The sequence below is a fragment of the Homo sapiens genome, chromosome 4, assembly GCF_000001405.40.
Source record: "Homo sapiens chromosome 4, GRCh38.p14 Primary Assembly".
Classification (NCBI taxonomy): Eukaryota; Metazoa; Chordata; class Mammalia; order Primates; family Hominidae; genus Homo; species Homo sapiens.
Window position 1 is genome coordinate 6,255,743 of NC_000004.12, and position 22,923 is coordinate 6,278,665.

General features: G+C 53.5%; 1 protein-coding gene across 2 annotated transcripts in view, besides 4 other annotated features; it reads left to right on the plus strand.

Moving 5' to 3' along the window:
* Nucleotides 7,124-7,902: an enhancer, noted in NCBI's record as "H3K4me1 hESC enhancer chr4:6264593-6265371 (GRCh37/hg19 assembly coordinates)". NCBI's record gives its function as "activates a minimal SCP1, AML or CMV promoter by ChIP-STARR-seq in naive H9 embryonic stem cells {active_cell/tissue: H9 hESC(naive)}" and the evidence as "EXISTENCE:reporter gene assay evidence [ECO:0000049][PMID:30033119]".
* Nucleotides 8,691-9,890: an enhancer, noted in NCBI's record as "BRD4-independent group 4 enhancer chr4:6266160-6267359 (GRCh37/hg19 assembly coordinates)". NCBI's record gives its function as "activates an origin of replication core promoter dependent on BRD2, P300/CBP, MED14 and CDK7 cofactors, and independent of BRD4, by STARR-seq in HCT116 cells {active_cell/tissue: HCT116}" and the evidence as "EXISTENCE:reporter gene assay evidence [ECO:0000049][PMID:35650434]".
* Nucleotides 14,086-14,195: a silencer, noted in NCBI's record as "silent region_15229". NCBI's record gives its function as "represses an Ori minimal core promoter by ATAC-STARR-seq in GM12878 lymphoblastoid cells {active_cell/tissue: GM12878}" and the evidence as "EXISTENCE:reporter gene assay evidence [ECO:0000049][PMID:35858748]".
* The window catches only part of WFS1 (wolframin ER transmembrane glycoprotein), a 33,416-nt gene continuing 24,600 nt past the window's right edge, over nt 14,108-22,923 (plus strand). Inside the window, exons 1-2 of one of the 2 annotated variants that reach the window (NM_006005.3) lie at nt 14,108-14,272; nt 21,709-21,945. In NM_006005.3, the coding sequence (NP_005996.2) occupies nt 21,714-21,945 (232 nt within the window). In that variant the 5' untranslated portion in view covers nt 14,108-14,272; nt 21,709-21,713. The remainder of the gene's footprint in view (nt 14,273-21,708; nt 21,946-22,923) is intronic. The other variant, NM_001145853.1, reaches the window with a different exon arrangement.
* Nucleotides 17,116-17,665: an enhancer, noted in NCBI's record as "H3K4me1 hESC enhancer chr4:6274585-6275134 (GRCh37/hg19 assembly coordinates)". NCBI's record gives its function as "activates a minimal SCP1, AML or CMV promoter by ChIP-STARR-seq in naive H9 embryonic stem cells {active_cell/tissue: H9 hESC(naive)}" and the evidence as "EXISTENCE:reporter gene assay evidence [ECO:0000049][PMID:30033119]".

Consider the following 22,923-nt stretch of genomic DNA (forward strand, 5'->3'; position numbering starts at 1 on the left):
CAAATCTCATCTTGAACTGTAATCTCCATAATCGTCACATGTCGAGGGAGAGACCAGGGAGGTGATTGGATCATGGGGACCGTTTCCCCCATGCTGTTCTCGTCACGGTGAGTGAGTTCTTTGAGATCTGATGGTTCTATAGGGGGCTCTTCTCCCTTCGCTCAGTGCTTCTCCTTCCTGCTGCCTTGTGAAGAAGGTGCCTTGCTTCCCCTTCACCTTCCACCGTGATTGTAGGCCTCTCCGGCCATGCTGAACTGTGAGTCAATTAAACCTATTTCCTTTATAAATTACCCAGCCTTGGGCAATTCTTTACAGTAGTGTGAAAATGGACTAATACAGACGTGGTCTCATTGTGTTGCTCAGGGTAGTCTGAAACTCTTGGGCTCAAGCGATCCTCCCAGCTTGGCTTCCCAAAGCACTGGGATTACAGGTGTGAGCCACCGTACCTGGCTGGGGTTGTGATGTTGAAAAATCACACAGCCTTGGAGCGAGAAAGGCTCTGAGGTTCTGTTCATCCATCCGGCACCTGAAGGTGCTCTGCAAAGCTGGCAAGATGATCATCCAGCCCCTGCCAGACATGAGGCCACAGCCGGCCCAGTGACCTGGAGTCACCCTCTGGTAAGGCTGCTGCCCTGGGACCTGCGTTTCTGGGATGCTGCTGACCTCTGCCCTCCAGGCTGACCCGAGGCTGACCGGGAAGCCCAGTGGTTCGAGAAACAAGGAAAGGTGGGAGTGCGGGCCCTCCCAGTCACCTCTCACCCTCCTCAGGTCACAGTGATTATCTGATTCATTCATTGATCAATCAATAGATACCCTGGACTGGTTGCTAGGGACAGTAGGTGTACTAGTTGAATGGCCCCCTAAATCCATGCCCACTTAGAGCCTCAGAATATGACCTCATTTGGAAATAGGGTCTTGGAAGAGGTAAGCAAGGGAAGATGAGTTCATTATGTGACCGGCGGCAATACCCTGACATTCCTAGTGGGTTGGGGAAGCCTTCTCCTGCCCTGCTCATGTCTGTCTCACCACCTGTAGCAGCTAGGAGGGGCCCTACTCTGAGGACTGGTGCCCTTTTAAGAAGAGGAGGCGGGCACAGTAGCTCACGCCTATAATCCCAGCACTTTCAGAGGCTAAGGCAGGCTGAGGTCGGGAGTTCAAGACCAGCCTGGCCAACATGGTGAAAACCCATCTCTACTAAAAATAGAAAAACTAGCCAGGCGTGGTGGCGGATGCCTGTAATCCCAGCTACTCAGGAGGCTGAGGCAGGAGAATTGCTTGAACCCAGGAGGCGGAGGTCGCAGTGAGCCAAGATTGCGGCACTGCACTCCAGCCTGAGAGACAGAGCGAGATTCTGTCTCAGAAAAAAAAAAAATAAAAACAGAAGAGGAAACTGGATACAGACACAGAGAAGCTAATGCCATATAAACAGAGACAAGGAAGACTGTGGAACAACGGAGACGCGATGGGAGCGATGCTGCCACAAAGACCGCCAGCAACCAGCGAAGCCAGGAGAGAAGCAAGGACCCAGGAAGGAGCCAACCCCGCCCACACCTGGGTTGCAGACTCCTGACCCTAGGACTGTTTGGGAGAGTGCATTTCTGTTGGCCGAAGCCACTCATTGTGGCGCTTTGTTACGGCAGCCAGGGCACCACCAGCGAGGGGCAGAAACCAGCGGGTGAGTCATGTGCAGGCCAGGAACGGAGAAAGAGGAAGAGGCAATTCACAGGCAAAGACACGAACAAAACACAAACAAGGGAGACCAAGAGCGCCTGCATTGAGCAGGGGTGGGAGGGTGCGGTGGAGGGCAGCAGGAGAGGACGCTGTGTGAGGGTGGGGAAGGAGGGCTGAGAGTGGGCGCCTTCGTGAAGCAGGGACTCTGGGCAGAGAGAATAGCATGGACGAAGGCTCTGGGCTGGGAAAGAGCTTGGTGTGTTCAGGGGACAGGAAGGAGGCCGGTGTGGCTGAGTGGGTGGGAGGGGCAGAGAGGGGCCTGAGCTCAGCGGGGAGGGTCACTCTCGGAGGCCACAGGAAGGAGTGGGCATTTTCTTCTAAGTGCATCAGGAAGTCTTTGGAGGGTTTTAAGCAAGAGAGTGACATGATGGGATTGATGTCATTTGGACTGCTGTGTGGAGGATGTGAAAGCATTCATTCATTCATTCATTCATTCCTTCATTTCAACAAGTAATAATACAAACAACCTCAGGACCGTGACCAGGCCTGTGGACAAAAGAAATGGCAGAGAGATCACAGCCTTGGGGAGTCAGGGCTGTCAGAGAATTCCCCTCTAAGATGACCTGGAGCAGGGGCCTGGAACAGCCATAGGAGGGCTGGGGAAGGGTGCTCCAGGGTGCGCAGTGAGCACAAAGGCCAGCTGGTGGCTCACACCCCTGCAAGCCATCTCTCCTCCAGGCTGGAGTCGGTGCTTCCCACAGTTACTTCTCACGACTTTCTCATTTTGTGAGAAATTCCTGATAATGATGCTCTCAGCTTTCTGACAAAGAGCTCAATTGTTCCTCAGGCGGTACCAATCTTAATCGTTATAGTCAAGAAGTTTTATAAGCACTTTTTTATTTATTTTTTTTTAATTTTTTGAGACAGAGTCTTGCTTTCTCACCCAGTCTGGAGTGCAGTGGTAAAAGCTCACTGCAGTCTCCTCCTCCCAGGTTCAAGCAATTCTCATGCCTCAGCCTCTCGAGTAGCTGGGACTACAAGCGTGTGCCACTATGCCCGGCTGATTTTTGTAATTTTAGTAGAGATGGGTATCACCATGTTGGCCAGGCTGGTCTCGAACTCCCGACCTCAAGTGATTCTCCCGCCTTGGCCTCCCAAAGTGCTGGGACTACAGGTGCGCATCACCATGCCTAGTTAATTTTTGTATTTTTAGTAGAGATGTGGAGGGAGGGGTTTCACCATGTTGGCCAGGCTGGTCTCGAACTCCTGACCTCAAGTGATCTGCCCTCCTTGGCCTCCCAAAGTGCTGGGATTACAGGTGTGAGCCATCAAGCCTGGCCTTATAAGCACTTTATAATTTGCAAAGCCCTTCTGCAATTCAGTTCAATAGCCCTTCCCTGGCCCAGAGGTGTGGGGAGAAGGCAGATGTGCACACAGATCTTATCTCACCTTCAGGAAGGTCTGACTCCATCTGGTCATACAAGATAACCGCTGTGCAAGTTCCAAAGCAAGGCCAACATAGAGACACATGCCCAGGTGCACTGATGTGAAACATTCACCCGTCATTCAACTCCCAGAGGGGCCTCAGAGGCAGCAGTCTAAAATGTGGCAGGTTGATAACAAGCTGGTACCAGGTCAGGGTGTGTCTGCAGGCACAGAGCTCCCCGCCAGGAGGGAGAAGACAACATTTGGTCCTTGGCTCTGTGGCCTTGAACAAGCGTCTTAACCTTTCTGAGCCTCAGCTGCAAAAGATCGATTCTATTTGATTCTCACAGGAGGCTCTGAGCCATCAAGAGTGGGTCAGGCTGGGCCTGGCACGGTGGCTCATGCTTGTAATCCCAGCACTTTGGGAGGCCGAGGCGGGCAGATCACCTGAGGTCAGGAGTTCATGACCAGCCTGGCCAACATGGTGAAACTCCATCTCTACTAAAAATACAAAATTAGCTGATCGTGGGGGCCAGCGCCAGCTACTTGGGAGGCTGAGGCATAAGAATTGCTTGAACTCGGGAGGTGGAGGTTGCAGTGAGCCAAGATCGCGCGGCTGCACTCCAGCCTGGCAGATAGAGCAAGACTCCATCTCAAAAAAAAAAAAAAAAAAAAAAGAGGCCGGGCGCGGTGGCTCACGCCTGTAATCCCAGCACTTTGGGAGGCCGAGGCGGGCGGATCACAAGGTCAGGAGATCAAGACCATCCTGGCTAACACGGTGAAACCCCCTCTCTACTAAAAATACAAAAAGTTAGCCAGGCGCGGTGGCGGGCGCCTGTAGTCCCAGCTACTCGGGAGGCTGAGGCAGGAGAATGGCGTGACCCCGGGAGGTGGAACTTGCAGTAAGCCGAGCTTGCACCACTGCACTCCAGCCTGGGCGACTCTGTCTCAAAAAAAAAAAAAAAAAAAAAGAGTGGGTCAGGCTGGGCATGAATTCGCCTCTATCAACTACCACCTGACCCCGGACAAGGCAGTATGGTTTCCTGAACCATAAAATAGGGGGAGTGATAGAACCCACCTGATAGCTATTCTTTCTTTAAGACTGAGCTCCAGTGTCACCCTTTCCCCAGCCCCTCGCAGTCCATCTCCGGACCTCACCGTCCATGCTCTGCACTTGCCACCCTGAGCCTCATTCCGAAAATACCTGCCCGTGCTGCCCTCAAAGCTCAGCATGTCTTGGGCCCCCAGTGTCTCTCCAGGCAGGTTCTCTGCACAGATGTCAGGCCAGACTGTCCCTCTTTGCTCAGGGAAAAAGAAGATGAGCTCTCAAGGTGCCAGCCTGTAGTCCCTGCACTGGGGCAGGACAAAGGTAAGTAGAATCAAGAATCGCCACCAGGACTACACTTTCCCCAGGAAAAACTTGAAACGAGTTCACGTAGCATTTTGGATCCCACCAGAACAGCAGCCCTAGAGAAAGTGCCAAGAGAATTCCTATACCCAAGTTTCTTCTCTTTCTCTTACCAGAAGCTCTTTGGCATTTCACAAAGCAAGTTGCAACCAGAGTCTGGCAGCTTCCATTGTATCGAACAATTAAGGAAAACAATGATCTGTGATCACGGCAAGCTTCTGGGTAATTTATATTTCTAAAGATTGTCAAAAACAATATCTCCTTCGCTAAAACTGTTCAAATTGCTCCCACAAACATCAAAAGTGCTCCCCACCCTGCCCCCCACTTTCTCTGCCCGTCTCTATGGCAACGTGGAGCTGTGCTATTCTGATCACTGCTACCAAGCCAAGCAGGTGTCCGGAAAGTTTTGGGGAGGATTTTGAGTTGGGTAATTTTTGGCTCTTCTTGACATTTCCTAAGTGCCGTGATGCCTAAAATTTTGTTCTATTGTTTCCTGCTAAAGTGAACAAGAAGTTCCCTCTCCCACCAGCTCTGGCTTTTTTTGTGTGGTTTTTTTTTTTTTTTTTTTTTTTTTTGAGACAGAGTCTTGCTCTGTCACCAGGCTGGTGTGCATTGGCGTGATCTTGGCTCACTGCAACCTCCACCTCCTGGATTCAAATGATTCTCTTGCCTCAGCCTCCTGAGTAGCTGAGACTAAAGGTGCATGCCACCATTCCCAGTTAATCTTTGTATTTTTAGTAAAGATGGGGTTTCACCATGTTGGCCAGAATGGTCTCGATCTCTTGACCTCATGATCCGCCTGCCTCAGCCTCCCAAAGTGCTGGGATTACAGGCGTGAGCCACCGTGCCTGGCCTAGCTCTGGGTTTTGAAACGATCACAGGAGGGACTCAGGGCTGAAAGAAGTGAGGGAGGAGGCCAGGCGTGGTGGCTATTGCCTGTAATCCCAGCAGTTTGGGTGGCTGAGGCAGTTGGATTGCTTGAGCCCAGGAGTTCAAGACCAGCCTGGGCAACATGTAAGACCTCATCTCTACAAAAAAATACCAAAAAAAAAAAAAAATTAGCTGGGAATGGTGGAGTGTGCCTGTAGTCCCAGCTACAGGGTGGCTGGGATGCTGAAGTGGGAGGATTGCTTGTTCCCAGGAGGCTGAGGTTGTGGTGAACCGAGATCATGCCACTGCACTCTAGCCTGGGTGACAGAACAAGACTCTGTCTCAAAAAAAAAGAAAGAAAGAAAGAAAAAAAAAAAGAAGTGAGGAGATGTTGCAAATGCCCCCCCACCCCAAACCACACCTCGGGGGTGTTTGTCTAAGAAAACATCTTTTGTGACCTGTGTGTTATCTTCTTTACAGCCACCTGAAACGCAGAAGGGAGCTTGCTGGGTTTCAGACATGGGTAAGTGTGGGGTGGCATTGCAGCAGAGATTGGAGGCCGTCGGACCAAAGAGGTGACCCAGAGTGGCCATGGGCACAGGACTCAACCTCTCAGAGCCTCTGGTTCCTGGTCTATAGCCTGAGGACGATCCTACCTCCCAGGTTGTCAGGTGGATTTAATGGGCCACCAGGTGTAATCAGTATTCAGGAAGGGATGGTAATGGTCTGTGGTGTGGTTATGGAGGAAGCTGATGTCCACCAATTCCACGTCCACGCAGGTTAGCTCCCAGGTCTTCCCAATAACCCTTTGGGGCAAAGGATTTACTGAGTTGACGCCCAGGGAGGTCCAATGAGTTGCTCCAGGTCTAACGACATTGCCTAAGCGTGTCATAGCCCCTCCCCATGCTCAGTTCCCTGATTTAAAGTCAGTGCCTCTTGGAAGCAATCACCGTGTCCTTCGGGAGGTGAGTAGATACATAAGTGGATACGTAAGCTGTGGTCCATCCAGACAATGGACTATTACTCAGCAATAAAGAGAAATGAGTTATCAAGCCATGGAAAGCCACGGAGGAAACTGAGCCGCATATCACGGAGTGAAGGGAGCCAAGCTGAAAAGTCTACGCACTGCACCGTTCCAACTCTGTGACATTCCGGACAGGGCACAACCATGGAGATTGGGAAAAGATCAGTTGTTGCCAGGAGGCAGCGGGAGGGAGGGATGAAGCAGTGGAGTGTCAAGAGCCTTAGGACAGTGACGCTGCTCTGTATGATGCTGCAGTGGTGGTCCACGTCATTCTACATTTTTCCAAACCCACAGAATGCACAATGCCCAGGGTGGACCCCGATGTAAATGCTGCGCTCTAGGAGATAGCAATGTGTCAATGCAGGTTATCCATTGGAACAGGTGTGGGGAGGCTTTGCATGGGGAGGTGTGGGATCTACGGGAACTGTCTGCACTTTCCACTCAGCTTTGCTGGGAATCCCAAACTGCCCTTAGAAATAAGGTCTATTAAAAAGGGGTAGGGGGCGGCTGGGTGTGGGGGCTCACACCTGTACTCCTGGCACTTTTGGGGGGCAGAGAGAGATGGGAGGATCACTTGAGCTCAGGAGTTCAAGACCAGCTTGGGCAACATGGCAAAACCCCTTCTCTACAGAAAATACAAAAAGTAGCTAGATGTGGTGGTGTGTGCCTGTAGTCCCAGCTACTTTGGAGGCTGAGGTAGGAGGATCACCTGAGCCTAGGAAGATCACACCACTACATTCCAACGGAGTGAGACCCTATCTCAAAAAAAAACCTGGGGGGAGTAGGGGGCAGAATAAAGCCAGCACCTCCTCCAGGGAGCCGTCCCTGACCACCATCACCTGCTGCAATTTCTCCCCCTGCCAGGAATCCGCAGGCTGTCATCACTTCTCCTCTGGTTAGCCCCTCCCCAGAATAACAGTGGCTGGGGTTTCCAGCTTCCGGACCTAACAAGCCCCTCCAGGGCAGGTACGGGGCTGTGTGCCTTAGACCCTTCCACCTCACACCAGGGCACCCAGTGAGACCTGTGAGGGAGCGGGTAGCAGGTGTTGAACGATTGCCCCTTCCTGCCAGTGACTGACATTTGTAAGAGAGACTCAGCATGAAATGACAGCTGCACGGTGTGGGCACATTGATGTACTTAGCAAATGAGGCCCCTGCTGCTGCCGTGTCCTGTGTCCAGTCCTGGTGACACAGCCCTGGGACCTGAGACCTGTGCCCAGGCCCCATGCTGGCTGCTGTCATGGTCTCCCTGCATCCAGGGCAGGCTGGGCCCATTTCGAAGGTGAGGGCTGGGGGAGGTGGGGGATCTCAGCTGGCACTGCTCAGTGATGTAGGGGCATGACTGGGACACAGGCAGGCCTGGGAACAGCGTCTCTCCCCACACGGGCATTTTCCTTCTTCTGCCTCAAAGTTGCTTTTGCATCCTGGCTTTTTTTTTTTTTTAATTCCCCAAATGAAACTTCCCAGTGCACTTGGTGACTCGTCTGTGGGCTGTGAAGTGGCGTTCGCTCTCTGCCTTCAGAGATGAGCACATCACCACTCAGACCCATGGGAGGGCTCAGAACTACCCGGCGACAATGCAGTGTGTGTGTGTGGCAGGTGGGTGTGTGCACGGGGGTGTGTGTGGAGGTGCTGGCAGGCGTAGGCCTCTGATGTGGCACCAGCCCTGGTGACACAGAGCCGTGTGACCAGCACCGAGCCCCCCACGACACCCCCACCAGCCACAACTCCAGCCACTTGGGCTGTGATTCCAAGGAGACTGTAGAGTGGGCAGGGAACTCAGGTTTATAAAGGGAACACTGGGAAGGAGGGAGGAGTGGTGGGCCCAGGGTGGGATATGAGCAGGGAAGTGGGAGAGGACGAAGGAGGGGGGTGGGAGCCCAGAGGCTCTACGGCCCAGCAGCTGCAGGGTGTGTGATCCTGGGAAGCTTCCATACCCTCAGACCCTCGGACAGTGAGGGAGGCTGCCCCGTGTGTCACATTGTGTTAGGAAGATCTGTCGGGGTATAGCAGCAAAGAGAGCTTCCTACCTTAGATGTGGTCAAGGCCTGGTGGGATGGCCTCAGGAAAGAGGCAGTGGATGGGGCACATGGCCTGAGTGAGCTCCAGACCTTGCTAAATTGCAAAGGCACCCATGCGGTTCCTCTGCTGCACCCCTATCCAGGACTCCCCATAGAATGCAGACTTCTGGTCCAGCTGGCCTGGGCAGGACAAGCTCTCCAGGTGGCGCTATGTGCATAGCCTGAGCTAAGCACCTCCAGCTTGCAGCATGGCTTCTCTAGCTTGCTTTATTTATTTATTTAGAAACAGGGTCTCACTATGTCATCCAGGGTGGTCTTGAACTCCTGGGCTCAAGCAATCCTCCTGCCCAAGCCTCCCGAGTACCTGGGACTACAGGCATATGCCACCACTGGCTCCAACCTTAATGTGCATGCAAATCCCAAGGGCATCTTATTAAAATGCAAATTCTGACTGAGGAGGTCCATGGTTGGCGCGGGATTCTGCATTCGTAACAGGCGTCCAGGTGACTGAGGAATGCTGGATGCTGATGTTGCTGGTCTGGTGGACCCATCACACTATGAACCACACTGCTTTATACTCATGGGTCTCAAATGTTCCTATGTCTCACAAACCCCCCAGGAACCTGTTAAAATGCAGATTCCTGGGCCTGGCTCCCAGGGATGCTGACAAGGCTAGTCCTAGGGTTTCGCTGTGCTAGAAGTCCAATGTGTGGCCGACATGCCCAAACATGTTCTGTTCTTTTCTATTCTTATCTCTTTTACTTTTTCTTTCCTTATCTCTTTTACTTTTTCTTTTCTTTTCTCTTCTCTTCTCTTCTCTTCTTTTGAGACAGGGTCTCACTCTGATGCCCAGGCTGGAGTGCAGTGGTGCAATCTTGGCTCACTGCAGCCTCAAACTCCCCAGTTCAAGCAATCCTCCCATTTCAGCTTCCTGAGTAGCTGGGACTATGGGCACATGCCACCACGTCTGGCTGATTTTTAAATTTTTTTGTGGAGATGGGTTTTTGCCATGTTGCCTAGGCTGGTCTTGAACTTCTGGGCCCAAGCAATCCCCCTGGCTTGGCCTCCCAAAGTGCTGGGATGACAGGTGTGCGCTACCATGCCCAACCAGCCGCACATGTTGTTTTTTTGTTGTTGTTTTTTGTGTGTGATGGAGTTTCGCTCTTGTTGCCCAGGCTAGAGTGCAATGGTGTGATCTTGGCTCACCGCAACCTCAGCTTCCCGAGTAGCTGGGATTACGGGCATGCGCCATCAAGCCCGGCTAATTTTGTATTTTTAGTAGAGACGGGGTTTCACCATGTTGGTCAGGCTGGTCTCAAACTCCCGACCTCAGGTGATCCACCCCCCACCTCCAGGCCTCCCAAAGTGCTGGGATCACAGGCGTGAGCCACCATGCCTGGCCCATGTTGTTCTTATCTCATTAACCCAGTGGGCTAAAAACTCATTGCCACACTCAGTAGCTTAAACCACAGAAATGGATTCTGCCACAGTTATGAAGGCCGGAAGTCTGAAATCAGTGTCACTGGGCAAAAATCAAGGAGAATCTGTTCCCTGCTCTTCCAGATTCCAGGGACTGCCTGCATTCCTTGACTTGTGGCCACATAATTCCTATCTTCAATGCCAGCGTCTTGGAATCTCTCTCTGCTCTATGTCCACATCAACTTCTCCGTGTGTGGTCAAATCTCTGTCTGCCTCTCTCCTGCAAGGAGATAAGCCAGGCTAATGGCCCCTTCTCAAAATCCTTAATCACATCTGCAAAAACCCTTTTCTAAATAAGGTACCATTCACAGGCTCCAGGAAGTGATCTCTTTGGGGGCCTTGTACACCAATAGCCTGTAAACCGCCACACTCTGCTGTCTTTCAAATGACAACTCACCAAGCCTCTGTCCTCATTTTCTTTGAATACTTGGCATGTAGTCCAATGCCTGGAACAGGCAGGATGTCACTAAATGTTTATATTTTTTAATTTTTATTTATTTTATTATTATTCTTATTATTTTTGAGACAGAGTTTTACTCTGTCGCCCAGGCTGGAGTGCAGTGGCATGATCTCTGCTCACTGCAACCTCCAGTTCCTGGGATCAAGCGATTCTCCTGCCTCAGCCTCCTGTGTAGCTGGGATTACAGGCATGTGCCATGACGCCCGGCTAATTTTTTTGTATTTTTAGTAGAGATGGGGTTTCTCCATGTTGGCCAGGCTGGTCTCGAACTGCTGACCTCAAGTGATCCACCCACCTCGGCCTCCCAAAGGGCTAGGATTACAGGTGTGAGCCACCACGCCTGGCCAAAAGTCACTAAATGTTTGTTGAGTAAATGGAAGTAGGTTTTAAATAGGTGTAGGGAAGGAAGTGGGCCAAGAACTTGAATGCAGAGTCTGAAAATCATGGGCAGACATCAAAGGACTGAATTGTGGGGGGTATATTTGGATGTCAGGTTAAAGAGTTTGGACACTGTCCTATGGGCAAGAAAGAGCTTATATGAAGTCCTTGCATAGGTGATTCATCCATCCATCCATCCATTCATTCATTCAATACTCAGCAGCAACATGCAGAGCTCAGCTCTTGGGGGAATGAGGACAGGTGTCCTAGAAAAGATAGCATTGAACAGCTGGCTCTTTCTCCCACCAGAGTTGTGTTTTAATAAGTTCTAGTATTTCTAGCAGTTACTGCTTTAAGTGTGTGGCTACTAGATTTTCTGGCTCATTCAGATTCATGACAATGAAATCTTTGTGGATTGTGCCTGGCACCCTTACATAATACCACTCTTCCCGTGAATGCTTTCCATCATGCGTTCTTCCTTATCAATAGTAATTTGCCATTTTTCAAATGTCTGCTGTGATCTTCTACTTCTCAATATTTTTGGTGTGTTTCTTGTAAATAGCGCTTAACTGGACTTTAGTTTTTGCCCCAATCTTACAGACTTTGGATGGGAAATTCAGCCCATTCACCGTGTTACGAAGGCGGGTAGCCATGGCTTTATTTATTTTATCTCATCTTATGTTTACTATTATTAAGCTTATTGTTCTTGCTATTATTTACTTTCCCCCTTAATTTTGCTTCCTTACTCTCCCTCCACCCCTCCCCCAACTTCTACCTAGTAATTCAGGAGTTCTACTCTGCTTCTTTCCCGTGAGTTGCTACTTTCCAATTCCTGAGAGTCATAATTCAACCAATCTTTCCCTGATAATGTATTAAAAGTAAATGGTAATGAAGCCCCCTCCCCACCACCAATAAGGCTTTCCTTCCCCAGCTGAGAGTCATAATTAAACCAATCTTTCCCTGCTAATGTATTAAAAGTAAATGGTAATGAAGCACCCCTCCCAACCACCAATAAGGCTTTCCTTCCCCACTCACCAAATCAGATCCTTTTACTTCCTCCTTCTCCCCTCAACCAAATGTGATCTTAAAATATTCTGACTTCTCTGTGATAAGATTCTATTTTTTTTTTTAGTTCCAGGCTAATACAACTTTCTCTTGAAGCATGTAGCTTATGTTTTAAGAATCCTTATGTGGCACTGCTAGTACAAAATCACAGGCACATGTGGATTATCCATACTGTATATTTTGCAAGGGTCATTGCTTAACACCACTTCCTGTTCTGAGCGTTTGCTCTATCTTGAAATCTCTACTGTGATTGAACTGTCTCGGTGACGGGGGAACTCTGAATATCTTCCTCTGAAAGGGGACATCACTGAGGTCCTTTCTCTGTCTTGCCACAGTGGATATTTTCTCTCTTTTGTCCACATAGATGAATCCTGTAGTAGCCATGGTAAGGATCCTTGATCCTATCATCAGAGTCCCTGGACATTGCTCCAAAGTCCCCTAGGAACCACTTCAACTTTTCTCCCCTTAGATGTGACCTGTTCTTTCTGGAACTCTGCAAGACCGTCTCTTTATCCTTGGCATCTGGGATTTCCAGGGACACGTTCTCCTGGCACTTTGCTCACCTCTGTTTCCCCTCCAGCTCTTCCTGGAGTACCTGTCCTTTGTGCAATACACCTCCTGGAACTGTCTTTCCAGTCTCTGCTTTTTGTCCTGATGATTTTCATGTGCTTTTCCTCTACATCATGAAGCATTTACTCCACATTATCTTCCAGTTTGCTCATTTGTCCTCACCTCCACTCTTCTCTTTCTGAATTTGCCTGTTGCTTTTTCAGTCTCTTAGCTCCGTGGAGTATGTTCAGTGTTGCTGTGTTCTGATAGAGGCTCCTTAAGCCATCTTGTAGATTTTTTGTTGCACTTCCTCTCTTCCCTTAGACCTCCACAGGAGGAACTTTTCAATCTGTCCTCTTCTCTCTGCTTAATGAGCCCCTGCAAAGGGTTTGGGAAGTGCTTCAGCCTCTCTGTGATTGTGTGTTCACATTAATATTTATTATTTTCTTAAATGTGCATAAATCTCACAATGTGAACAGTGATCATCTTTGAGTGATTTTTTTTCTCCTTTCTACTTTTAGTAATTCTCCAAATTTTCTACAGTTAGTGTGTGATAAGGTGGAAAGACATCTTCAAGACTTTGGGCAAATAACTATGTCTGAGCCTCAATTTTCACATCAATAAAAAATGGGCTCAGTGCCACCTCCCTCCTTGGGTCACTAGGGGGGCCCTTGAAAGCTGTGAAAGCCCCTAAGCCAACCTGGACAGAGCAGGCGAGGCTGACGGCAGGTGTTCTTCCTTCCTCTGTGAGCCTCACAGGGTCACACGTGAACATTGGGGATCGGGGGTGGGCAGTGGGGGCAGCTGGAGAATCAAATGAGGTGACTGACATGAACTACGCCGCTTTGACAAAAGTCCTCCGAAGTAGTGTGTTCAGAACTCATCTCCAAAGCCATCTGGAATATTTGCTCCCAACATGTTGGTAAGCATTATCTCTGACAGTCACTCCGAGCCCCAGTTTCTGCTGTGATAACTAGGACAGGTAGCTCAGGTTGGTTGTGGGGACCAGAGACAGAGCAGGCAGGGTCTCACGTTCCCCAGGGCCTCTCAAGGATAGACCCTCGCCCTCATCTCCAAACCACGCCTCCCAGACAGGAACCAAACTCCCAGAGTCTCCAAACTGCCTGAGCCTTGCCCACTCCCTGGGCTAACACACACTTTAAAGGAATCCCACAGTCACCGTGTGAAAAGCTTGCTACACTGCATTTGATTCTGGGCACTGAAAGCAGTACTTGGCTGCAGACACTCGTTTCAAACAGGCCCCATTTTTCCATCTCTGCTGCTGTTATTAGGGGAGCCCTTAGACTCTCTTGCAGCGCCGGAATAGGCGCTCAAGACGTGTGTTAATATTGCAACAGCAAATATAATGAATCTGCAGTTGGGGACGCTGAGGCCGGAGTGGTGGATGAAAGGTGGCCGGAGCCTTTTCCACGGGTCCAAACCACCTGTTACAGGAGAAGGCGAGCGGCCTCGCTAAGCAACTGGACGTTCCGCGGGCGGGGCGGGGGCGGGGCCGGGGCCCGAGTCCGCTCGGAAACTTTCGCTGTGGGCGAGCCGGACCCGCCTTCTGGCCCCTCGGGCCCAACCACGCAGGGGGAGTGCCGGGCCGCAGCTAGGCGAGGCGCACCGTGATTGGCGGAGATGTGGAGTGATTGGCGGCTACACCGGCCACTCAGCAGGCCGAGCTGGCGCCGCATCCGGGGGGCCGCGTCTGGAGTGGAGGGAGGCCGAAGGCCCCGCCCCTGCCCCGCCCCCTCGTGCAGAAGGCCGCGCTAGCCGGCTCTTCAGCAGCGAGTGCAGATTGCTCCCCCGCGGCCGCAGATCTCCCGTTTGCGCCGCGTTCAGCTGCTCCCGAACAACTTTTCTGCCGGCCCAGAGGCCCCAGGGCGTCGCAGCGCCGCGTGCGGCCCACTCACGGGCCGGTGAGTACTTCGGCGCTGGGGCAGTGGCGCGGTGGCTGTGGGCAGCGCGCAGGAGGCGGGCAAGAGCCCTGAGGCACTGTCCTCTTCGGGCCTCAGTTTCCCCTTCCGAGCTGATGGGTGGCTGGCCCCAAAGTCCCGACAAGGTCCCCGAAGTTGGAGGGCCGGGGGTCCCGCCCGCTCTGCAACGCGCAAGGCGACCCCTGTTCCGGGCCCGAACGGGTCACCCGGGGGGCGCGCCCCGGTCCCCCGCGCGCTGTCGCCTGGAGCCCCGCCGCGGGCGGGACAGCAGGCCCGAGAGGCGGAGCGGCCGGCGGGCAGGCCCCCTCCCCGCGCCCCGCGCCATCCCCCCCGAGTTGCCCCGTCATGCCCCTCCCCCGCGGTCCCGGGACCCACGGCCGCCCTCGGTGCCCGCCCGGCCGTTGGAACGCGCCTGGGCCCCCGGGAGGTGTTGTGGGGGGGAAGGGGGGTTCAGTCCCCCAGGGGGACCCGGCCCGCCCGAGGGGCAGCTTAGGGGTCATTCTGAATCCCCACAGCCCACTTAGGAGCGCTGTGGCAGTTCCTCTCTCTCTCGGGGCCCCTCAGTAGAGAGTTGAGGGGTTTCAGTGGCAGCACCTGGACCCTGCCTCGTATGAACTCCACCCTCTGGATCATTAGCTTTTTGTTTGATCAACGAAAACTTTCTGGAGAATCCTACCCAGCCCTTTTGGATGTGATGGCGCCCTGGCCTCTCACCCACTTAGCAGATGATGTTATGAATTCCAAGGAAGTCGCATTTGTGCAACCCCCCACCACCCAGATTTAACCCTCTCAGTAGCCTTAGGCGGAGAAGTTATAGTCCCCGTTTGACACCCCAGGAAGCTGAGGCTCAGCAGGGTTTGGTGCCAGCCCAGGACCACGAAGCTGATGGGGCAGAGCCTGGTGTGAGGCCTCTGCCCTATCTCTCCAGAAGCAGCCCCGTCTCTCCTCACCTTGGACAGTGACCCCTGGCATTTGGCCCAGGGCTTTGCAGTTTGTAAAGGGCTTTCTCTTATGCCAGCATCCATCACTCAAGGAGCTGTGCCCTGGGTACCCCATGTGCTGGCTGCCTGTTCTCTGCAGCAGGAGAGGGAGCCCACGGGAAGCCCAGAGGCCACCTTTGTCACTGTCGCCACCTGTTTACTTCTGTGTCCAAGGGTCTGTGATTCCCATGGGGTCTCCGTTGTATCCAACCAGGGATTTGGAGGGAGGCTTCTCCACATTTCAGCCTCTTTTCCCTACCTGCTGGTTTGTCCTCCCTTCGCAGACACAGGAAAAGTTGGCTGGGAGACCCCATCTCACCTTCTTTCCCAGGATGGAAGAGCATGGAGGGCGTCTCTGACTTAGGCCTCCCCTGCCCATCCCGGACCAGTGCTGGACAGGCTTCTGGGGCTGGTCACAGAGGGGACCTCAGCTCAGTCTCAACCCCCAGAGATGTCTGCACTGCCAGACAGACCCGAAACACCCATCCTTGACGGTGGCAATAAGAATCATAATAGGTCGGGAGCTTTATGCCTACACGGCTCCCCTCCCCTCCCACTTCCCTACTTCCGGAAGTGGTACCACCACAGCCAGCCAGCCCCAGCCACAAACCAGACCACCCCCTGTGCCCTTCATTCCTCACTCCCAGTTGGGTCTCTCCTGGCTCCTGAGCCTCACTCGGATGCCTGCCCTGGTTCAGGACCCTCGCCTCTCCCTGGACGACCCCCAGGCTCCTCCCTGGTCCCGATCCGGGCCTGGCTGCACGCAGCCCTGCTGGTTCTTCAGCTGCCACTTCCCTCTGGGCTATCGGGTCAGGTCCGCCTCCCGAGCCAGGAGCCGGCATTCTTTCGGGCCCTCAGGGACCCGCCTCGCTGCTCACTCAGCCTCTCCCTCCTGTGTCCTCTCTCCAGCAGTCACCTCCCAGCCACCTGCGTGTTCCTGGCCACAAGCCTGGCTCACTGTCCCTCTGCTGCCTCCTCTTCTGGGCACAACCCCTGCTGGAATGCCCAGCCACCTCCCAGCTTGCCTGGCTCCTGCCTGCTTGTCCAGAAGGCTCAGTCAAGTCCTCCTGCAGGATTTCTGGCCTGCCTCTTCCCACAGTGGAGTGAGGGCCCCCTTCTGTGCCGTCTTTGTGGGTGTCTGTTTAGGTGTTAACCCTTCCCATCTAGATGAAGCTGCTCCAATGCTGGCCCTGGACAAGACTTCTCTAGGGCAGGGGGGCCCAGCACAGTGCTTGGCACAAGATGGACCTACCCTCAGTCCACACCTGCTGCCCATCCAGGCCAGGCCTGGAGCAGGTGCCAGGTGTGTGGTGGGGGCTTGGCCACTATGGCCGTCATGAATGCTGCTTGGGGCAGTCCCAATTCAAACCCCTCTGTTCCTGTGAATGTGCCACATTGGATAGAGCTGGAATGTTCCTTGGTTTGTCCCTTAATACTCTGAGCAAAAATAGGTACCTGGGATCCATCAAGGGCTTTGTGCCCTTGTCTTGAGGAGCAGCCCTGTGCCAGGGGGCTGGGTCAGGCCAGGCCAGAGCAGACATCCCAGGGCCAGGACCTCCTGGGCCTGCTCCCTTAGAGCTTGCTCACAGATGGGTTTTAAAATAACATTTGCTTTAATTTCAAAAACATCACACATTCATTATAGAAAACTAGGGAAATATGTTTAAAAGAAGAATAAAATGAAACCGCGCATAAGCTTTATCCCCAGAGACAACAAGTATCTTTTTTAGGGGGCGTTTTCTTCCGTTTTTTGGCAGATAAATTTTGTTTTCATCCTAAACAGACTCCGGCTAATATCTTCTGCTGCTTTAAATCCTGCCTTAACAGTGTTAGGCCCACCTTTTCCTTGTCTCAAAACGTTCATGTACGAGGTCACGTTTACCAGCTGTACAGCGTTGCACCATATGGAGGGGTGTAGGCTTTATAGCCAGCCCCTTTCTGGACAGTGCTGAAAGTGCCATATGATGGACATTGTGTGTGAGCCCCGAGGGCATCTCCAGTGACTCCCCTGGACTGGCATCCTGGAGGCAGAGGCACTGATCAGAGAGAGTGAACATCATCTTGGCTTCCCACAGGGGCTGTTTCTGAGGCACTGGCTTGGGAGATGGGGTTGCCCCCCCAGAGAGAACAGAATGGGGGTGGCCTGGGTGAGGGCCAGAGCCCTTAGGGCAGAAGGCCACGTGTGGTCATTCTGCTGCGGGTCTGAGTGGATGCATGGTGCCTGCAGCCCTCTCCAGGTGGCGGCCTCTCAGCTGAACTCCTTGGTGCCGGTGTTTGTGTTTGGACGGGATAAAAATATGCCTCATTGCTCATGAGGAAAGAATGCTAGCAACTTTGGTTTTGTGGATCTTACACAGTGACGGCTTCTAAGCCATTGCTGTGGTCACCAGTAGGGAGTTGGGGCTGAGTGCCCCACCGTGCAGGTGGGGATCTGAGGGTGCAGAGTGGATGCAGCTGGAGATGCCTGGATGCTGGGGTCTGGGGGAGGGACTTGCTAAGGTCCCACAGCATTATTGCCTGGATGGTGCTCCTGCCCTAGGCCAGGCTGCCTCAGGCTTCTGCCCACATGCATTAAGTGCTTAACGTATTCCTGGCAAGGCAGCCGGTCTTCCGAGTGGATAAGCTGCAGCCCTGCCCTCAGGGCTCACAGTGGCTGTAACATGCAGGAAGACTCAGAGAGGGAAGGACCAGACAGCAGGTCCTTCCACCGGGAGATCTTTTCTGATCTTCATTGTCCCTGTGACCAACCATGACCAGGAATTGTTGTGCTTGTTTTGAAATAACAAGCCCTTTGATCCAAACCAGACTTGGCCAACCCCCAGGGAACCTGAAAATTAATCCTCCTGTATTCATCCATTCTTACTAACCAGAGATTTTACTTTAAACAGTTTTTTTTTAACTGCAGTGTGACATACATGGTACATAGGCCAGCTAGAATCTGTTTTCCTGAAATTCCTTTTATGAAGTGTTTTCCAACTGAACATGCCTTTGTTTAGCACCTGGGAGTAATGGCTTAGGGTTTTTCTTTTCCTTTTTCTTTTTTCTTTTTTTTGAGACGGAGTCTCGCTTTGTCACCCAGGCTGGAGTGCAGTGGCGCGATCTCGGCTCACTGCAAGCTCCATCTCCTGGGTTCACACCATTCTCCTGCCTCAGCCTCCCCAGTAGTTGGGACTATCGGCGCCCGCCACCACGCCTGGCTAATTTTTTTGTATTTTTAATAGAGACGGGGTTTCACTGTGTTAGCCAGGATGGTCTTGATCTCCTGACCTTGTGATCTGCCCGCCTCGGCCTCCCAAAGTGCTGGGATTACAGGCGTGAGCCACCGCGCCTGGCCGGCTTAGTTTTTTTTTAATGCCCAATAGTTTGCTTTCTCTTCTGCCACACACGTAATCCCCATAGCACCCCTATGTGGGAGGTGCTATCCCCATTTTACATATGGGGAAACAGACACAGTGAGGTCATGTGGCCACTAGTAAGGGTAACCGACGCCCCACACCATGTTGCTTCCAGCTGTAACCTCTAGCAGAGGGAGGGCTCTGATGGAGAGGTGATCGCCTGAGTGCTGTGTGTTTACCTGAGTAGGTGAGGAAGACAGGGACTCGGGACAGACATAGCTTGGAAGCTCCCACAAAGGAGGTATCGCTGGAGCTCTTGACTTGAAGGGTGCTTAGGGTCTAGGCTGGGGGAGGGGGGTAAGAAGGCATTCCGGGAAGAGGGCCCTGCAGAAACAGAAGTGTGGAGGTCAGCATTTGTATGCTGATGTTGAAGGGTAGCCAGTGTTTTGCAGTGAATGGGCCCCGGGAGAGAGGGTGCAGTGGCATGGCGGTCTGATTTCAAAGTCGTCTTTTTCAGAAATGAGCTTGCAGAAGCATTAGAATTGGGCAGGTCTGGATTTGAATTTCAGGTCTGGTACCTGGAGCTGTTTGACCTTGAGCAGGTCCCTCCCCTCCCTGCACCTGGGTTCCTGTCTGTGAAGTGGGGTGAGGTTGAAGGATAAAACATTTCCCCATCTATAACTCTGGGATGACAATAGGATCTACCTTCCAGGTCCATGCGAGGAACTCACGACAATAGGACCTACCTTCCAGGGCCATACGAGAAACTCATGAGAAAAGACAAGTACAGAGAACAGAGCCGTTGGTCTTGATGGCAGAGATGCCCTGGCGTAGGTCAGCCCTCAGTAAAGGTGCCCTCTCTCTCTGTCTGAGAAAGTGACACCTGACTTCGGGGCAGTGGGAACCATGGGAGAGAAGGTAGACAAGGCCACGTGTCATTTGAAGACCTGACTTTTCACCATCTCAGGTGGTCCGGTGGCCTGCAGGACCGTGGTTCTGTTTGCCCACAGCGTGTGGGTTCTACGTGCGATCCTGTATTTCTCTGCCACAGCTGACTAAGGGGACACTTAGGTCTGCACGTGCAGTTAAATGGCTGCTTTTGTGGAAGGTGCCAGTTCCCGGGAGCTGGGAACTTGGAAACAGGATGGAGCAGGCTCCCAAGCTTGACCATGCATGGTTTGCACCTGGGGGATGCACCCGGGGGTGCTTGACCATGCATGGTTTGCACCTGGGGGATGCACGGGGGTGGGGTGGGGGGGGGGGGTGTGCTTGACCATGCATGGTTTGCACCTGGGGGATGTTTTACACTAAGGGCTCAGTCCCTCTGAGGGAGGAACGTGTGGATTGAAATCTGCAGAGTTCTTGAGCGACACCAGTCTGATCTTTAGGACTCATTTGCAGCGGGAATGGAGCAGAAATTGTTGTGTGTGGAGCCTGGGGCCACTCCTGACTCTTCCAGTCACAGCTGCCCCCAAAAGTGACCTCTGGGCACCTACTCAGACCTGGCTGCTCAGTGCCAAGCGCTGGGTGTTCAGAGGTGGCCAGGGGACTCCCTCGTGCTGCCCATGGTGTCTGGTCTCACTGGTCCTCACAGTTGCCCCGTCCCCATTTTCAGATGAGGAGGCTGAGGTGCAGAGCGGGATGTGGGCTGCTCAGGACCACACAGCTGGTGGGCACAGAGCCAGGAGTACAGCGCTGCGGCAGCTTGGGGCTGGGAGCGAGACTCTCTGTTACCAGCCTCTCCCTGCTCTGTGCCTCAGAGGATGGCTGTGGCCCTGAGCTTGGGAGGGTCATTTGGGAATCTGAGGAAAAGTTTCCACAGCCTCACACAGCAGCAGGTTCAAGGTCCAGCAGTGCCAGGGGTTTGCATCCCACCCCTAACGCCGCTCATCCAGGGCCCATCCGGGTCCGGGGCTCGGGATCCTGCAGCGCTTTCAGCTCTGTGTCTGTGGCCGGTGGTTGTCCTTCATTACAGGGATGGTGGTGTTTTTCCATGTTGCTAAGCAGCATGTGAGGGCCTCTGTTGAATAAAATAAAGCCCTTGCTCCGGCGTGACACGGGTCACGGGATCTCTGCTCACTCTAGTCTCTTCTGATGCCCCCACCGCACTGTTTGCCTTAGTTTGCTTTTTACTCTCTGTGTTGGTTTCTGGGGCATCAGTCCTCTGACTTCGGTGCTGTGGCTTGGGCCTGGGGTGGGGGCTGTGGAGCGGCAGATCTGGGTATGAATCCCAGCTCCACCCATTTGGCTCCCTCTCTTCTCTCCCCTGCCCTCTTCTCCCCTCCCCAGCTCCCTTCCCCTCTCATATTTACTTAACTTTACTCAGTACCAGCGTATTAGTTTTCTAGGGCTTCCGTAAGAAACTACTGGAAACTTGGTGGCTTAAAACAACAGAGGTTTGTTCTCTGATGGTTCTGGAGGCAGAAGTCTGAAGTCAAGGTGTGGGCAGGGTGGGTCCCTCCTGGAGGCTCTGAGGGAGGCTCAGTTCCTCGCCTCTGTCCAGCTTCTGGCAGTGGCCAGTGGTCCTCCTGCTCCTTGGCCACTGTCACCCGTCTCCGCATGGCTCTGTTACACTTCTCTTCCTATAGGCCATCAGCTCTTGGAGCCAGGGCTTCCCTACTCCAGGCTGATCTCATTTCAAGATCCTTAAATACATCTTCAAAGACCTGTTTTTCCAAATAAGGGCACATTCACAGACATTGGTGGGCACATGATGTGGGGCCCAATTCAGCCCCCTGCAGCCAGGCTCCACATGGGTGGGCTCTGGGTGTTGCTATCATCATCCCCGTTTCTTGGATGAGGGAAGGCCAGGGTTGTGTGGCTCATGCCCAGTGAGGCAGGGACTCCAGGCCTCGGCATGTGCAGGTCTGAGATTGTAAGTGCCATGCCATCTGTAGAGTCACGTGGGTGAGTGTCCTCCCATGGTTTCCTCCCTGGAAGCGGTGCTGGCCCATGGGGACTGTACTGAGTGTCAGCGAGATCCTGTATGGAGTGTCTGGCAGCTCCCACCTGCCTCCCTCTGCTTTTCTGTCTCCAGCAGACACTAAGTGCCAGAGCGGGCTCTGCCGGTGCTGGATGTGCCTGACCTTGACTTTTCTTCCAGGCAGGATGGACTCCAACACTGCTCCGCTGGGCCCCTCCTGCCCACAGCCCCCGCCAGCACCGCAGCCCCAGGCGCGTTCCCGACTCAATGCCACAGCCTCGTTGGAGCAGGAGAGGAGCGAAAGGCCCCGAGCACCCGGACCCCAGGCTGGCCCTGGCCCTGGTGTTAGAGACGCAGCGGCCCCCGCTGAACCCCAGGCCCAGCATACCAGGAGCCGGGAAAGAGCAGACGGCACCGGTAAGGGAGCAGGCTGGGAAGCCCAGGCTGGGGATGTTCAGGGATAGCTGGGTGGGAACGGGGTTCAGCCACCCCTGGAGGGTCCCCCCGCCAGGTCCTCTGCAGTTCAGCATTGTGCAGCTCCCATGCTGTGCACAGGCGTCCATCCAGTGGGGCTACCCACCTCCTCAGAGCCTTGCACCTGTCACCTTTGTGGCACCCACTCGAGGTGGTGCTGGTGCCCCCACTCCTCTGCAGTCCTTCTCTTCCCAGGGCCTCTGCAGCACTTCACAGCTTCCATTTGCAACAGCGTCCAAACATGTGGAGTAAATTCACGGGCCCTCTGTAACCAACTAGGGTGGCAGGCCAGAGGTGACAGCCACACTCTCGGGAGTGAGGCCACATGCGGGCGAAGCCCTTGGTGCTGAGTTTCCCCTCTCCCTGAGGGAGACTTGTGAGGGACGGGCGTCCTTCACCTCCATCCTGAGGCGGGATGCTGGGGCCCTGGGTGTTCACAGGCAGAGCTGACTGAGGCCCTTGGTCTTCACAGGCCGAGCTGACTGAGGCCCTGGGTGTTCAAAGCAGAGCTGAGGCCCTTGGTGTTCACAGGCAGAGCTGACAGGCTTGTTGGTTCCTGGGTGGTGATGTGAGGGTGGTGGGTGTGAGCCAGGGGAGTCCGGCCCCTGGGCACCTTCTCCAGCTGACTCAGGCCTCGGTCAGCCTTCACTTTTGCTAGAGAGGCCGCTGCCAGGGAGGCTCAGTCCCAGCTCATCACTGCCCCTCCTGCCCATGCAGAAGCCCCAGACCCATGGTGAGTGCCTGCTGTGTACACCAGCCTTTTCCATGTGCCTGCAGGACTCCTCATGGCAGTCCTGAGAGGGGAAACTGAGACACCGAGTCTAGGTGACTTGCCCAAGAGACCCAGCGGGTGAGAGACGAGGTGCTCGAGTGGTCCAGGTTTCCTTCTTGTCCCAGTCACCCCACTGGCAGGGCCGTGGG